The sequence below is a fragment of the Homo sapiens genome, chromosome 11 (assembly GCF_000001405.40).
Source record: "Homo sapiens chromosome 11, GRCh38.p14 Primary Assembly".
Taxonomy (NCBI): Eukaryota; Metazoa; Chordata; class Mammalia; order Primates; family Hominidae; genus Homo; species Homo sapiens.
The window spans coordinates 119333256-119347257 of record NC_000011.10 but is presented as its reverse complement, the minus strand read 5'-3'; the positions used below and the strand labels follow the sequence as shown (position 1 = coordinate 119347257).

The 14002-nt window shown below is 59.3% G+C and overlaps 3 protein-coding genes across 4 annotated transcripts, besides 2 other annotated features; 2 read left to right on the top strand and 1 right to left on the bottom strand.

The window, feature by feature from the left end:
• C1QTNF5 (C1q and TNF related 5) lies at window positions 553-8316 on the top strand. Of its 2 annotated transcripts, NM_015645.5 has the most exons (15): window positions 553-798; window positions 884-986; window positions 1099-1212; window positions 1330-1485; window positions 1625-1838; window positions 2254-2384; window positions 2501-2626; window positions 2867-2943; window positions 3294-3442; window positions 4255-4385; window positions 4531-4662; window positions 5274-5401; window positions 5486-6563; window positions 6818-7074; window positions 7410-8316. In NM_015645.5, exons 14-15 carry the CDS (start codon window positions 6861-6863, stop codon window positions 7925-7927), a joined length of 732 nt encoding a protein of 243 aa, NP_056460.1. In that variant the 5' UTR covers window positions 553-798; window positions 884-986; window positions 1099-1212; window positions 1330-1485; window positions 1625-1838; window positions 2254-2384; window positions 2501-2626; window positions 2867-2943; window positions 3294-3442; window positions 4255-4385; window positions 4531-4662; window positions 5274-5401; window positions 5486-6563; window positions 6818-6860; the 3' UTR covers window positions 7928-8316. The 2 variants fall into 2 exon arrangements, with proteins under 2 accessions (NP_056460.1, NP_001265360.1); NM_001278431.2 differs by lacking the exons at window positions 553-798; window positions 884-986; window positions 1099-1212; ... (7 more) ...; window positions 4531-4662; window positions 5274-5401 and having other exon boundaries at window positions 6375-6563.
• On the top strand, window positions 553-8316 carry MFRP (membrane frizzled-related protein). Its single transcript, NM_031433.4, has 15 exons — window positions 553-798; window positions 884-986; window positions 1099-1212; window positions 1330-1485; window positions 1625-1838; window positions 2254-2384; window positions 2501-2626; window positions 2867-2943; window positions 3294-3442; window positions 4255-4385; window positions 4531-4662; window positions 5274-5401; window positions 5486-6563; window positions 6818-7074; window positions 7410-8316. Exons 1-13 carry the CDS (start codon window positions 745-747, stop codon window positions 5708-5710), a joined length of 1740 nt encoding a protein of 579 aa, NP_113621.1. The 5' UTR covers window positions 553-744; the 3' UTR covers window positions 5711-6563; window positions 6818-7074; window positions 7410-8316.
• Window positions 7157-7256: a silencer, noted in NCBI's record as "silent region_3979". NCBI's record gives its function as "represses an Ori minimal core promoter by ATAC-STARR-seq in GM12878 lymphoblastoid cells {active_cell/tissue: GM12878}" and the evidence as "EXISTENCE:reporter gene assay evidence [ECO:0000049][PMID:35858748]".
• RNF26 (ring finger protein 26) lies at window positions 9949-12731 on the bottom strand. Its single transcript, NM_032015.5, has one exon. The coding sequence runs from the start codon at window positions 12133-12135 to the stop codon at window positions 10834-10836; it is 1302 nt and encodes a 433-aa protein (NP_114404.1). The 5' UTR covers window positions 12136-12731; the 3' UTR covers window positions 9949-10833.
• Window positions 12198-13089: an enhancer, noted in NCBI's record as "H3K27ac-H3K4me1 hESC enhancer chr11:119204879-119205770 (GRCh37/hg19 assembly coordinates)". NCBI's record gives its function as "activates a minimal SCP1, AML or CMV promoter by ChIP-STARR-seq in naive H9 embryonic stem cells {active_cell/tissue: H9 hESC(naive)}" and the evidence as "EXISTENCE:reporter gene assay evidence [ECO:0000049][PMID:30033119]".

The window sequence follows — 14002 nt, the reverse complement described above, 5'->3', positions numbered from 1 at the left end:
AACAGCCCCAGTGGCTAGACTCCACACCCCAACCCTCCCCAAGACCTGGGCACCTTCTCCCCCTTCCCTGTCCTTTCTCCTGCGGGCTTAGGGGTCCCAGGAATGAGCAGCCAGTCCCCCTGCTCATGCCATGTTCTTCTCTCTTGTCCTGGTCACACCGGTGATCTACCAGGGGCCTTCCAAAGACCCGGCCTGGCCAATACCCCTGTCACCCTGGTGGGGAGGAAAGGTGGGCAGCTGGCTTTGTCCACCCCCTACACCCTGCTTCTTTCTCAGACCACCTAAGGCTCCCTTCTGCCTGCAACTTCTCTCCCCTCCCAGCGACCCCCTAAGTGCTCACTCAGTGCCTTGGGTGATGGGGTGGAGAGCTCCCCTCGTCACATCCCCGCACAGAGCACCTAGTTTCCTCTGCTGGGTGTTCTCAGCCACCGCCTGTGCCTTTAAGAACTGCCACCCTGTGCCAGGGGCTTGACCTCAGCATCCTCAGCTGAGTTGGATTAAGGGACCATTTCGTGCCTTTGTGAATTCCTCCTGGCTGCCATCCCTTCCCCCACACAGAGACAGAGTAGCCCATAGGCCAAACCACTCTACCAAGGACAGCCCAAGAACTGGTCTAGCCTGGCAGCCTTTTCCCTCGGGTAGTAGAGGCTGCCCCTCTGACAGGGAGTTTGTGGTCAGCGAGTGGGCCCTTGGGGGTCTTGGGCTGTCACAGGGACTCCAGAAAGCCATGCAGAGCCTTGTGCCATGAAGGACTTCTCAGATGTCATCCTCTGCATGGAGGCAACAGAATCGAGCAAGGTAAGGACCACATAGAATCGTGCTCCTAAGACCCAGCACCAGTGGTCACTGCTGCCCTCAGCCCTCAAGTATCTCCCCCTTCCAGACCGAGTTCTGCAATCCTGCCTTCGAGCCTGAGTCTGGGCCACCCTGCCCTCCCCCAGTTTTCCCAGAGGATGCCAGCTACAGCGTCCCAGCTCCCTGGCATGGTAACCATCCCAGGGGGTGACCTGGGGGAGGACAGAGAGGCCCAGGAGCCAAGGACAGCATGAGGAATACCCAACAGAAGGGGCTTTCAAAACCCCACCTGCCAACCCGCAGGTCGGCGTCCTCGAGGGCTACGGCCAGACTGCCGCTTCTCCTGGCTCTGTGTCCTCCTGCTCTCCAGCCTGCTCCTCCTGCTGCTTGGGCTGCTGGTGGCCATCATCCTGGCCCGTAAGTACCCGGGGACAGCTTGAAACGAGGGCTTTGGAATGAAACTCCATGAGCCGCTCTCCCAGCCTCCCAGGACCCAGCTCCTCTGAACGCCACCCTCCATCTTCTCGCCTCCAGAGCTGCAGGCTGCACCCCCATCTGGGGCGTCCCATAGCCCACTGCCTGCCGGAGGCCTTACCACGACCACCACCACCCCCACCATCACCACCTCTCAGGCAGCTGGGACCCCTAAAGGGCAGCAGGAGTCAGGCGTGAGCCCCTCCCCACAGTCCAGTGAGTACTGGGGGCAGATCTTCCGGGAGAAGGGCCCAAGATGACGGGGTGGGGTTGAGGGGAGGGTGAGGAAGAGGCACCTTGAGAATAAAGGACCTCACTCCTTTTGACCTCTGAACTCTAACCTCCATCTCTGCAGCCTGTGGAGGCCTCCTCTCTGGCCCAAGGGGCTTCTTCAGCAGCCCTAACTACCCAGACCCTTACCCCCCCAACACCCACTGCGTGTGGCATATCCAGGTGGCCACAGACCATGCAATACAGCTCAAGATCGAAGCCCTCAGCATAGAGAGTGTGGCCTCTTGCCTTTTTGATCGCTTGGAACTCTCCCCTGAGCCTGAAGGCCCCCTCCTCAGGTAGGTCCCTCTGTCCCCAGGACATCCCACCGTGTCCTGAACCACTATCTAAAGAGCAGAATCAGGGAGTGGCAGGGAGAAGGGCTAACCGAGGAAGAAATTGAGAGACTAGACCTCTGGGCCCAGCTCTGCCACCACCTTGCTGTGTGCCGTGAGGAAGATCACTTCCCCTCTCTCACCTGTTTCCTAGTCTGTAACATGGATCTCCTGCCTATCTCCCCATGAGTAGATGCTACAAGGATAAATGTGCAGGTGCTAGGAAGGTCAGAGCTCCCTGGGACATCAGAGGAGCCTTTTTGACCACATGGTCACCAGTTTGGGGGTTGAGAAAATAGGACTGCAAGGCCCAGGCAAGCTCCTCTCTGGCTGACCCTGCTCTTGGAGCCTCCCTCACCCCCAACCTGGCTTCTTGCAGGGTTTGTGGAAGGGTGCCTCCCCCCACGCTCAACACCAATGCCAGCCACCTCCTGGTGGTCTTCGTCTCTGACAGCAGTGTGGAAGGATTTGGTTTCCATGCCTGGTACCAGGCTATGGCCCCTGGGCGCGGTGAGTGTGTTCCCACCTGCCTGTTGAGTGTCCACTTTCTTCCCCTCCACCCACTCCCAGTCCTGTCAAAGGGGTGGAGACTCCGGGCCTCCCTGACTCCTGGTGCCCACATCCAGGGAGCTGTGCCCATGATGAGTTCCGCTGTGACCAGCTCATCTGCCTGCTACCTGACTCAGTGTGTGATGGTTTTGCCAACTGTGCTGACGGCAGTGATGAGACCAATTGCAGTGCCAAGTTCTCGGGTACGGGCCAGGCATGGGGGTCCTCTCTTCAGGCGTCTGATCTGGGTTCAAGCTGGGCTCCCCAGCTCTGGTCCAGCCTCAAACCGGGCCCTCCGTCAGCATTTCCTGCTCAGTCATTCTTTGGCCCAGAACTTGTTTCCCATGGGCATGGCCAAAACTCTCGCTCTGTAATCACCGCCAGCCCTATTGGATGGAGGCACAGATCCTAGCAAACTCATGAGCCCTTCCACCTCTCTACAGGGTGTGGGGGGAATCTGACTGGCCTCCAGGGCACTTTCTCTACTCCCAGCTACCTGCAGCAGTACCCTCACCAACTGGTAAGCACAGTGCTCCATGCAGAACGGGAGGGGCACACACGGAAGCACCTGATCCCCAAGTTAGTGTAATGGGAATGGCATGGTAGACACTACCTTCTACTTGGGAAGGTCAGAGATCAAGCAGACGGGGGATGGGGGAATATTATTAAGTGCCTGCTGTGTACCCAGATGTTCCCACACTGGGTCAACTCACCTCTGAAACCAGGTAAATTAAAGGTCCTTAAGAACCACCAATGATGAAAGCACCACCCCATCCCCCCAGCCAGCAGTGGGGGAAGAAGACCCTTCTGGGTGCCCGGGATGAGACAGGAGAAGGGGCCATGAATTGCTCCACCTATGCCCTCCCCCAGCTCTGCACCTGGCATATCTCGGTGCCTGCCGGACACAGCATAGAACTACAGTTCCACAACTTCAGCCTGGAGGCTCAGGACGAGTGCAAGTTTGACTACGTGGAGGTGTATGAGACCAGCAGCTCAGGGGCCTTCAGCCTCCTGGGCAGGTACAGGAGCCAGGGAAGAGCCATGGATAACTCCATCCTCACTGTCTGCCACCCCCGGCTTCCATGTCGGCCCAGCACATTCCATTCTCCAGCTTCATTTTCTTCTGCTACTCCAGGCCGGGGGTCTCTTCACCATCACCCTAAAGACAGCTCTCACCTCAAAACCTTCACCCCACACTCTCCCTGTCCCCAGGAGGTCCTTCCCCAAACCTCTCCCTGCCCCAGTTCCTCCCCACCGGCAGGGGCCACTTCCACCTCCCCTACAAACCCTCATTGATTTTTCTTTTTCTTCTTTTTTTGAGGCAGAGTGTCACTTTGTTGCCCAGGCGGGAGTGCAGTAGCACCATCATGGCTCACTGCTGCCTCAACCTCCCAGCTTCAAGTGCTCCTTCCACCTCAGCCTCCTAAGTAGCTGGGATCACAGGCACATGCCACCACGCCCAGATAATTTACTTTTTTAATTTTTTTGTAAAGACAAGGTCTCACTATATCGCCCAGGCTGGTTTCAAACTCCTGGGCTCAAGTGATCCTCCCTACTCAGCCTCCCAAAATGCTGGGATTACAGGTGTGAGCCACAATGCCAGGCTGCTTCGCTGATTTTTCCCCATCTAGAAGTGGCTCGAGTTCAGACAGTTTGTTTAATGCTTTCCCTGTTGAATATATGTGTCTTTCTCGCCAGACCCTAACCCTGTGTCTTCCATCACCTTTGGCATCATCCAGGGCTCCCAGCTCAGAGCCAGGCCTGTGGGAGGCTGCAGTGCCCCCTCAGTCAGCCAGGGCTGGTGCCCAGAACAGCTGTCTGCTTTGGGCAGGTTCTGTGGAGCAGAGCCACCCCCCCACCTCGTCTCCTCGCACCATGAGCTGGCTGTGCTGTTTAGGACAGATCATGGCATCAGCAGTGGAGGCTTCTCAGCCACCTACCTGGCCTTCAATGCCACGGAGAGTAGGTGCCCCTGGGCAAGTGGGTGGGGGCAGTAGAGGCACCTCCAGGGGGACAGACAAGGGCTCTGGACCCTGGTCAGGACACTCTGGGGGTACTGGGGGTGTAGGTATGTCCCCGGGCACTGCCATGCCCCTTGTGCCTGCAGACCCCTGTGGGCCCAGTGAGCTCTCCTGCCAGGCAGGAGGGTGTAAGGGTGTGCAGTGGATGTGTGACATGTGGAGAGACTGCACCGATGGCAGCGATGACAACTGCAGCGGCCCCTTGTTCCCACCCCCAGGTGAGAAGCCTGCCCCTGGGGACCCTGAGCAGGCTGGGTGCCCACCTCACAGAACCCTACTGCCGTACTGCACAGTGTCCCATCCCAACCTCCCTGAGGGGGCGGGGCCAGCTGGCCTCACCATCCTGACTCTGGGACCACTTCACAGAGTCCTGGAAGACAGTCGGCTGGTGGTGGCAATAGTACTGAGTGTCACCCCAAGGGAAATGGGAATCTGGGAATCATTGGTGGGGCTTCAAGAACCAGTCCCTTCTGTCACCCAGAGCCCCTTTCCACAGCCCACACCAAAGATGAAGGCATCCTCTTACACAGAGCAGGGGGTTTCTTCCAGATGCCCAAGCAGTCCCTGCAAACGCGGGTGCCCCATGTTCCCTGAGATTAAAGACGTGCCTGCATGATGCCCAGGGCTGGCAAGCGATGCTGGAGCAGGCTCTCAGGGATGGCAGGGATCCTCAGAGTGTGTACAGCCTGTCTCTTTGTTATCCTCTTGCTTCCTCACAACCACCCCCATTGGACCCATGTACACACAGGACCGAGCGATTCGGTGACTTGCCACAGGCCACAGAGCCAGTGAGCAGTCCCCACAGTGGCCCTCCCCTCCACCCCTGCAGAGCTGGCCTGTGAGCCTGTCCAGGTGGAGATGTGCCTCGGTCTGAGCTACAACACCACAGCCTTCCCTAACATCTGGGTGGGCATGATCACCCAGGAGGAGGTGGTAGAGGTCCTCAGCGGTTACAAGGTCTTCTGGGTGGAGGGAAGGAGGGCGGGCCTGGGAGGGGAGGAGCCTGGGAGCAGGTGCCTGAAGGCCACTCTCCCTCCGCAGAGCCTGACAAGCCTGCCCTGCTACCAGCATTTCCGGAGGCTCCTGTGTGGGCTGCTTGTGCCCCGTTGCACCCCACTAGGCAGTGTTCTGCCCCCTTGCCGCTCTGTCTGCCAGGAAGCGGAGCACCAGTGCCAGTCTGGCCTGGCACTACTGGGCACCCCCTGGCCCTTCAACTGCAACAGGCTGCCAGAGGCAGCTGACCTGGAAGCTTGTGCCCAGCCCTGACCCTGAAGCCGGCCCCTGCCCTCTTCCTGCCCGTCCTCTTTTGCCGGTCAGGGCTGGCACGCAGGGGAACAAAGGAAGGAGCATCAGCAGGGTCTCTACCCATCCTTCTCTGGGGCTCCCAGGGAGGGGGAAGAGAAGTCCTCAGCTGGGGCTCATGGGACCCTACCACCCTCCCTGCTCCTTCCTGTCCCTTTACCGGTCCCAGGCTGCTGACTGGCCCCACACTGTGCCACCGGACAATCGAGACCACTTCCCATCCAGGCCTCTTCCCCTTTCCATCTGCTTTTTCAGCTTCTCCATCGCCTGCCTTCTGACCTTTTCCTTGATTCAACAAAAATGTACTGAGCATCTATTCATGTGGCAGGCCCCTGTCCTAGGCCCTAGGGATCCAACTGGCTGTCTGCCTCTAGAACTCTCCACCCTCATCTCTCTGCGTATTTCTCCCTGAAATGGGGTCTGGTCCTTGGTCTCTGCCACTGCCCTGCCTCTCCTCTGGCCCTGGGAACAGGAGGTGCCCTGTGTGTCCGTCTCTCGAAGTTCTGCCTCTCTGTGCCCAGCTCAAGTCTCTCTCCCCCTCCTTTCTCCCCCTAAACTTTGGCCGGCCGCCGGGCGACACCACGAGTTATTTCCCAGCTATTTCCCGGTCCGGGAGCTCTTGGCCCCTGAACAACTGGTTTCCTCTTGGAGTCTGGGAGGAGGAAAGCGGAGCCGGCAGGGAGCGAACCAGGACTGGGGTGACGGCAGGGCAGGGGGCGCCTGGCCGGGGAGAAGCGCGGGGGCTGGAGCACCACCAACTGGAGGGTCCGGAGTAGCGAGCGCCCCGAAGGAGGCCATCGGGGAGCCGGGAGGGGGGGTGAGTCTGGCGGAGGAGGGGAAAGGGGCTGGGGAGGGGACTGTGGGAAAGGCTGGCGCGGGCCGGCGGTGGGAGGGAGGGCTGGCCGCTCCCACCCTCTCGCGCCTGCCTGTGCTCTCCGGATGCTCGGCCCTGCGAGCGCTCAGCCTCAGGGGCACGGCAGTGGGGTGGGGACCGACTGGGCCGCGCCGGGGTGGGGAGAGAGGCAGGTCCCAGGATTCTGGGTCCCGACTCCAGTCCTGCCTGGTCCACAGACTGCGAGAGGACCCCGGCGTCCGGGCTCCCGGTGCCAGCGCTATGAGGCCACTCCTCGTCCTGCTGCTCCTGGGCCTGGCGGCCGGCTCGCCCCCACTGGACGACAACAAGATCCCCAGCCTCTGCCCGGGGCACCCCGGCCTTCCAGGCACGCCGGGCCACCATGGCAGCCAGGGCTTGCCGGGCCGCGATGGCCGCGACGGCCGCGACGGCGCGCCCGGGGCTCCGGGAGAGAAAGGCGAGGGCGGGAGGCCGGGTAAGAAGGCACCGCCGCGGCTATCGGTGGCGATGTCCGAGCAGGCGCGGCCGCAGCTCCAGCTCCCGGTGTCCGGGACTCGGGTCTCCCGCCAGGGGGCGCCACTCCCCGCGCTTTGCAGCCCTGAGCGGGGGAGGGGCCCAGGCGGCGGGAGCCCCCTTGGCCAGCCCCCCAGATCTGCCCTGCGGGAAGGGGTGGAGGAGGTACCCGTGCGGGAGGAGGCGCTGGCCGAAGCTCAGGCAGGGGCGGGGAGGGGTACGGTGACCTTAGAGTCGCCGCCCCGCTGCGGGCTGAGCCGCCGCTACTCTCACCCTGCCGCCCCGCTTACCCCGCAGGACTGCCGGGACCTCGAGGGGACCCCGGGCCGCGAGGAGAGGCGGGACCCGCGGGGCCCACCGGGCCTGCCGGGGAGTGCTCGGTGCCTCCGCGATCCGCCTTCAGCGCCAAGCGCTCCGAGAGCCGGGTGCCTCCGCCGTCTGACGCACCCTTGCCCTTCGACCGCGTGCTGGTGAACGAGCAGGGACATTACGACGCCGTCACCGGCAAGTTCACCTGCCAGGTGCCTGGGGTCTACTACTTCGCCGTCCATGCCACCGTCTACCGGGCCAGCCTGCAGTTTGATCTGGTGAAGAATGGCGAATCCATTGCCTCTTTCTTCCAGTTTTTCGGGGGGTGGCCCAAGCCAGCCTCGCTCTCGGGGGGGGCCATGGTGAGGCTGGAGCCTGAGGACCAAGTGTGGGTGCAGGTGGGTGTGGGTGACTACATTGGCATCTATGCCAGCATCAAGACAGACAGCACCTTCTCCGGATTTCTGGTGTACTCCGACTGGCACAGCTCCCCAGTCTTTGCTTAGTGCCCACTGCAAAGTGAGCTCATGCTCTCACTCCTAGAAGGAGGGTGTGAGGCTGACAACCAGGTCATCCAGGAGGGCTGGCCCCCCTGGAATATTGTGAATGACTAGGGAGGTGGGGTAGAGCACTCTCCGTCCTGCTGCTGGCAAGGAATGGGAACAGTGGCTGTCTGCGATCAGGTCTGGCAGCATGGGGCAGTGGCTGGATTTCTGCCCAAGACCAGAGGAGTGTGCTGTGCTGGCAAGTGTAAGTCCCCCAGTTGCTCTGGTCCAGGAGCCCACGGTGGGGTGCTCTCTTCCTGGTCCTCTGCTTCTCTGGATCCTCCCCACCCCCTCCTGCTCCTGGGGCCGGCCCTTTTCTCAGAGATCACTCAATAAACCTAAGAACCCTCCTACCGGCTCCAGCCTTTCTTCTTTAGTGGTGGGGGCTCCCTGTTTCTGGGATCATGGTGTGGAGGGGGTGTTCAGGCAGAAGGGAGGGTTCTTGGATGAAATAGAGATATGCGGCAGATATACAAGAAGCCGGCCCAGGGGAATGAGAGGCTGCTCCACAGAGCCGCCACCTAGGTTGTGAATGGGAGTGTCTGACAGCGGGATGCCCTCCTGGTGTGGGGCTCCATCCATCCTTGAGAAAGGGAGCACCTTTTTCTAATTCAAAGATGCCAACTGAACCACGTAGGGGCTGCCTGCGCCACACATACCTCTGCCCTCATCCAACAAAAAAGAGCCGAGGACTTTCGTCCATGGCTGCTCCGGCTGCTTGCCTGCCCCCGATGAGCAGAAAGCTATTGCTCTGTAACCCGAGTGAGTGGCGTCCTCGGGCGTCTAAAGATAAGCAGTTTCTGAGATGACCACAAGGGGGTGCCCTGGCCCCAGAATGCCGCAGGGATCCTGGGTAGCTTGAGCTCCTGACTATGGGGGGGTGAGGGAGAGGAGGGGTATTGAGGTCGGCCAAAGGAATTCCAGATGCGGATGGAAGAAAAGGGGGGGTCCTTTACTCCCAACTCAGGAAGTTTATCTTCTATCATAAAATGTTTATCTCCACATTAAACAGAGACTGGAAGGAGCCAGGCCTCCCCTTGCTCAGCTCCCTGTCCCGGATTGAGGGAAGGAAAGAGCAAGTGCCAAGCCCTCCCAGTTCTGAGGTGGAGATGAGGAGCCCTCCCCCACTGTGCTGGGCATAGCCTGGGTGGGCCGAGCCACTGTGTCTGAGGCTAGCCACAAAGCCCCTCAAGGCTCCGCCCACCCCTGGAGCCCACCCCCAACCCAATGACTAACAAACCAGGACTGCCCAGCCCCATCTGCACAGCCTCAACCCAAGGAAGGGGGGGGGCCTCTCCTCAGAGTTTCTTTCTGAGCTACCGGCACCCCCTTCCTGAAGGCAGTCCCAGGCACTGTGGTCCCAGACAGAACATACAATTATGGGGGAGTGCCCCTGCTCTTCTGCTGGTCATGTGAGGGCAGATACGGCCAATGGGGACTCAGCCCCAAATGTGAGCCAGAGACAGGCCTTAGGCAGCCTCCACCAGGAGATCCCGCAGCCGCACTCCAGCCCAGCCCTGCACCAGACCCCCATGCCAAGACACACAGAGACACACACCAGCTCCTCCTGGGATCCGAGGGCAGACTGGACTCCAGGCAGGAGGAACCCCATGCTCCCTCCCAGGAAGACTGGCCCGGAGGAGGAGCTGGGAAGGTTGACTCAAGGGGTGAGATGGTTCACATTCCTCTCTACAAGGGCTTAATTTGGGAAAAAACAGAAAAAATAGAAGGCTTTTCGAAAGCCATGTGTTGCGAGAGGGGACAAATCAGAAGGGATGAGAGCTCACAGAGCCATGCCTGGCATGCACTCTCCCCATGACATAGTCTTCCCAGCCTATCTTAGCTCCTTCCCTGTCCCCCCTCTAAAGCCCAGGTACCCCCACAGCCCACACTTCTGACTCTGGCGGGGCTGAAGGACCCTGATGCAAGGTCTGTTGCCTTGACCAACTGCTCCCTTGCAGGGATGCACACAGAGACTGTCAGAGCTGTCAAGAGAACTTTATTCATTGGAAACTGGGCCAGAGACCCCTCACGAAGCTGCAAGCCCCTGGGCCCTGGGCCCTTCTGTATTTGGACCCTAGTGAAATGTGCACAGTCTGCCCTCTCCATGCCAGGGAGAGACAGAGAGGAATGCCATTTTTCTGTGTGATGTGGGAGTGACAGGGGAAAGAGCAGAAATCCGGTTATCCCTCCTGAGACTCCCAGTGAGCTGGGGTGCCACAGGGCACGTGGCCCCAAAGTCAGGTGCAGATGCATCCCCCATCCCAGGGGTAAACTCCTGAGACTGGCTTTTGGATCAGGTTGGGAGGGAGCCTCATCAGACGATCACAGGCAGAGGTGGCTCTGAGGGCACCCGAGAGATACTAACCCCAACGCCTACCAGGGCACAGGGGCTCTGGCTGAACACAAAGGTTTAAGATCATCCGAAGGCCCCTGAGTTGCCAAAACACCCAAATGACACTGATGTGTTGTGGCCGCAAAAGCTGGGGAGGAAATGTGAAGGAGGCAGGAAAAGGACCTATAGATCTCCAACAGAAAAACCAGAAGCAGACAGGGGTAACCCCAGAGGCATCTGGGTGGGCCCTGGGCAGGCTGGAGGAGAGCCCACAGCAAATAGTCTCAGGGCCCTTGCATAGTGACATACTCACCACCCTCAGCATCGAAGGGACCCACTGGGTAAAGAGAAGCCATGTTATCCTGCCCCCACCCAGATCATAGTCTTCCAACTCAATGTCCTGGATGTATGGCAGGATGGCCACAGGGGTAGGAGGGGATTCAGACCAGGACCCGGAGATGAGGTGTTAATGCTGTCCTAGCGTGAGTGCCTGCGTGGAGCATGGAGGGGTGGGCAGGCAGGGAAGGAGGCTTCAGAGGTAGACATTGAGGGTCTGCAGGATGCCCCGGCGGCAGAGCGGGCAATTGCGGTGGTAGACGGGGTGGCGCATCAGGATTTCAGTGCAGGCCTGGCACAGGCACAGATGCCGGCAGGGCAGGAGCAACACTGTCTTGCTCTGGTCCTGGCAGATGACACACTTCTTCCGCTCCTCTTGCTCCTTCAGCAATTTCCAAGGGTCTTGCCCACCTGGAGGCTCCTCCTCATTGAGCCTCTCTCGGCCCCTGACAGGTGTCACTCTGATGGTCCTGGCCTCCTCCTCTTCTGCCTCTGATCTGCGCCCCGCTTCAGGAAGAGTGTCCTGTCTCCGGGTCCTAACTGAGAATACCCTCATAGGGTCACCCTGGGGAGCTCCAGGTGCCCCTCCCCGGTTTGGCCAACTCGCCAGCTGCAGACTGCGGCTCCAGACTCGGCGCCAGGCCTCTGAGCCCAGTGCTAGGCGAGAGAGCCGCATGACATCCTCTCGAAGACGGTGGTAGGATGGCCGGGCATGGAGCTGGCTGAGTGCCTGGGTAGCCAGCCTCAGGGTGAAGTCCGGATGCAACACAGTCACCGTCACTGCCAGCACACAAGCTAGCAACACCAAGCCAGTGAGATTGACAAGCACAAAGCTGGCCAGGAGGCGGGCAGCTGAGGCCAGCAGCTCCAGGGCTAGTTGGCAGGGTGTCCAAAGGAGGATGGCCATGGCCACAGCACTGCTGGAAATGTGGGCTAGGAAGGCAGCCACTACGTCCGTCATCCTCCACAGAGGCCCGGTCACTGCATCCCACAGGGCCAGCACCAGGGAAAAGAGGTTCTGAGTGCCGATGAGGCAGATGTTGACCAGGCTGTTGATCACATAAGCCACCAGGCTCATGGCAATGGCACAGATGTCACAGGCCTGGCGCAGCAAAGCATGGCCACTGGAGACCACATTGAGGACGCCCCGGTGCAGTATCTCCCTGCTCCGCAGTGCCCCATGAGAGGCCAGGTGCCCCAGGAGCTTTAGGCTCTCTAGGCCAGAGCAGCAGCTATACAGCAGAGTACACAAGGCCTGCAAGCCCCCACATGTGAACCGGACCACGGCTTCGATCAAGGCCAGCAATGAAAGCAAGACTCCGCGGCCCAAGTGCAGAAGACTAGTCAGTACCGTGTGCGGCAGGTTGTAGACGAAGGCCAGGAGCCAGGCCAGGGAAGCCAGGAGGGAGGACACCAGCAGGAAGTTGAGGTCCAACACCAAGGTCAGCACGTCCAGCACCAGGCCCAACCCATTCACTACCAGGTACACTGCCTCCATGATAGGGCTATGGAAGTTAGTCCAAAACAAAGTCTGGCTCCTCGGTTGGGGGGTTGTCAAGGTTGTCAATATTTTAGGGGGTCTGGGATTAATTTGGAAGGAAAATGAGCAGTCTCCAACCCAGGGGGTACCAAGAATCTGAGGAAGAAGTGGGTAAGACGGAAGTGGAGTCTTGGTAGAGGGAAAGGTGGCCAGGTGCCAGTCCAAGAGTCCAGGTTTTGAAGATGGGCTGTTTGGGAGGGAAGAGGCCAAACATCTCTAAAGCGAAGGCGAGCCCAGGCCGTAGGAGCGACCTCAGCTTTGGATGCCTGGTGTGGCGAACCACGGCCGGGCAACGGGTCAGACCGGGAGGAGACGAGGAACGGATGGAATGGGATCGGATCGGATCGGGTCGCGTCGGGTCGGGCCGGGGCCGGGTGGGGTCGATGTAAGCTGGGCGCAGGCTCTCAGTCCAGCTACGCAGGTGCCCCTGTCCCCGCCCGGCCCCCGTCTTCCCGCTAGCGGCGCTTTGCACCCAAAAGGGGAGTGGGAGAGGCAGCCAGCTTCAGCAAACCCCAAGCGCAGCCCCTACTCCGCTGGGCGCCGCCATCTTGTGTGCAAAGGGGTGGAGCCAGAGGCGTGACGAGGAGGGAGGGACGACAAACTCCAGCCAATCGGTGAAGGCCAACCACAAAAACGTCGATCACTCATTGGTCCGTTTGAATGGCGCCCGAACGTATTTACTTTCCAAAGGGAAGGAGAGGCGACAGATTAAATCCCCTCCCCCTTTAGGCGGGGATTGGTTCGTTGGCGGGCAGCGTCGAAATACGCTCTCCTAGCCCCACCCTCTAAAAGAGCAGGGTCTTGGACTCCCCTCAATTTGGGAGCTGTTCTTTCTCCCGGCCTCTGAACGCGAGGTTTTTTTTTTGGCTTGGGTCGGAGGTCACTGCCTCTGGGCTGGGCTTTGGAATAGCACCGCCTTCGCAGCCTGCCCAGATCCGTCTCCTCATTCTCTTCTATTTATTCATCTATTCTATCATTTATTGAACTCCTACAGTGCATTGAGGATACAAAAAAATTTTAAGACAGTGCCTGCTGTTCACAAGGGAAAGCAGATTATTACAGGGGATTCCCAAACTGCTATTCCAAACTTTCCTCACCAGGTTTTTCAACATCTCGGAAGATTACTTCATTGTCATTGAGAAAAAGGGGCTACAGATTTAGAAACCGCTCAGCTTCCTACCCTGGGCCTTCCTACCCTAGAGTGCAGTGGCGCGATCTCGGCTCACTGCAACCTCTGCCTCCCGGGTTCAAGCGATTCTCCTGCCTCAGCCTCCCGGGTAGTACAGGTGCCCACCACCTCACCCGGCTAATTTTTGTATTTTTAGTAGAGACGAGGTTTCACCATGTTGGCCAGGCTGGCCTCGAACTCCTGAACCTCGTGATCCACCCGCCTCGGCCTCCCAAAGTGCTGAGATTACAGGCGTGAGCCACCAAGCCCGGCCCTGCCCTTTTCTTTAATACTCAAACAATAGTCAAAATATATTTGAAACCCCATCCCAAATATATTGGGAATCCTGGCGTTTTCTACTAACTCCAAGGATGCTTAGCAGACTCCTAGTGGACTTATCTTTCCCCTGGTCACCTTTGCTGAATTTCCTACTTGAGTTGAATTCTCCATCTCCACTCCTGGGCTCCTGAAAGTGTCCGTCCTCCTTCAGTCTGCCCTGAACACTGCCTCAGAGTCCTTCATTCTCCAAAGCATCACTGATAAGAAGCTGAGGTGTGCAGCAAACCTTTACTGAGGCCTTGGGATCGTGGTAGGGGTACGCTATAGTGCAGAGGAAGGACTGCAGTCGCTGAAACTCCTCTGGCTTCTTCCTACCCT

Excerpts from the sequence above, each read along its gene's own strand:
- RNF26 (NM_032015.5), bottom strand. The coding sequence starts at position 12,135 with ATGGAGGCAGTGTACCTGGTAGTGAATGGGTTGGGCCTGGTGCTGGAC.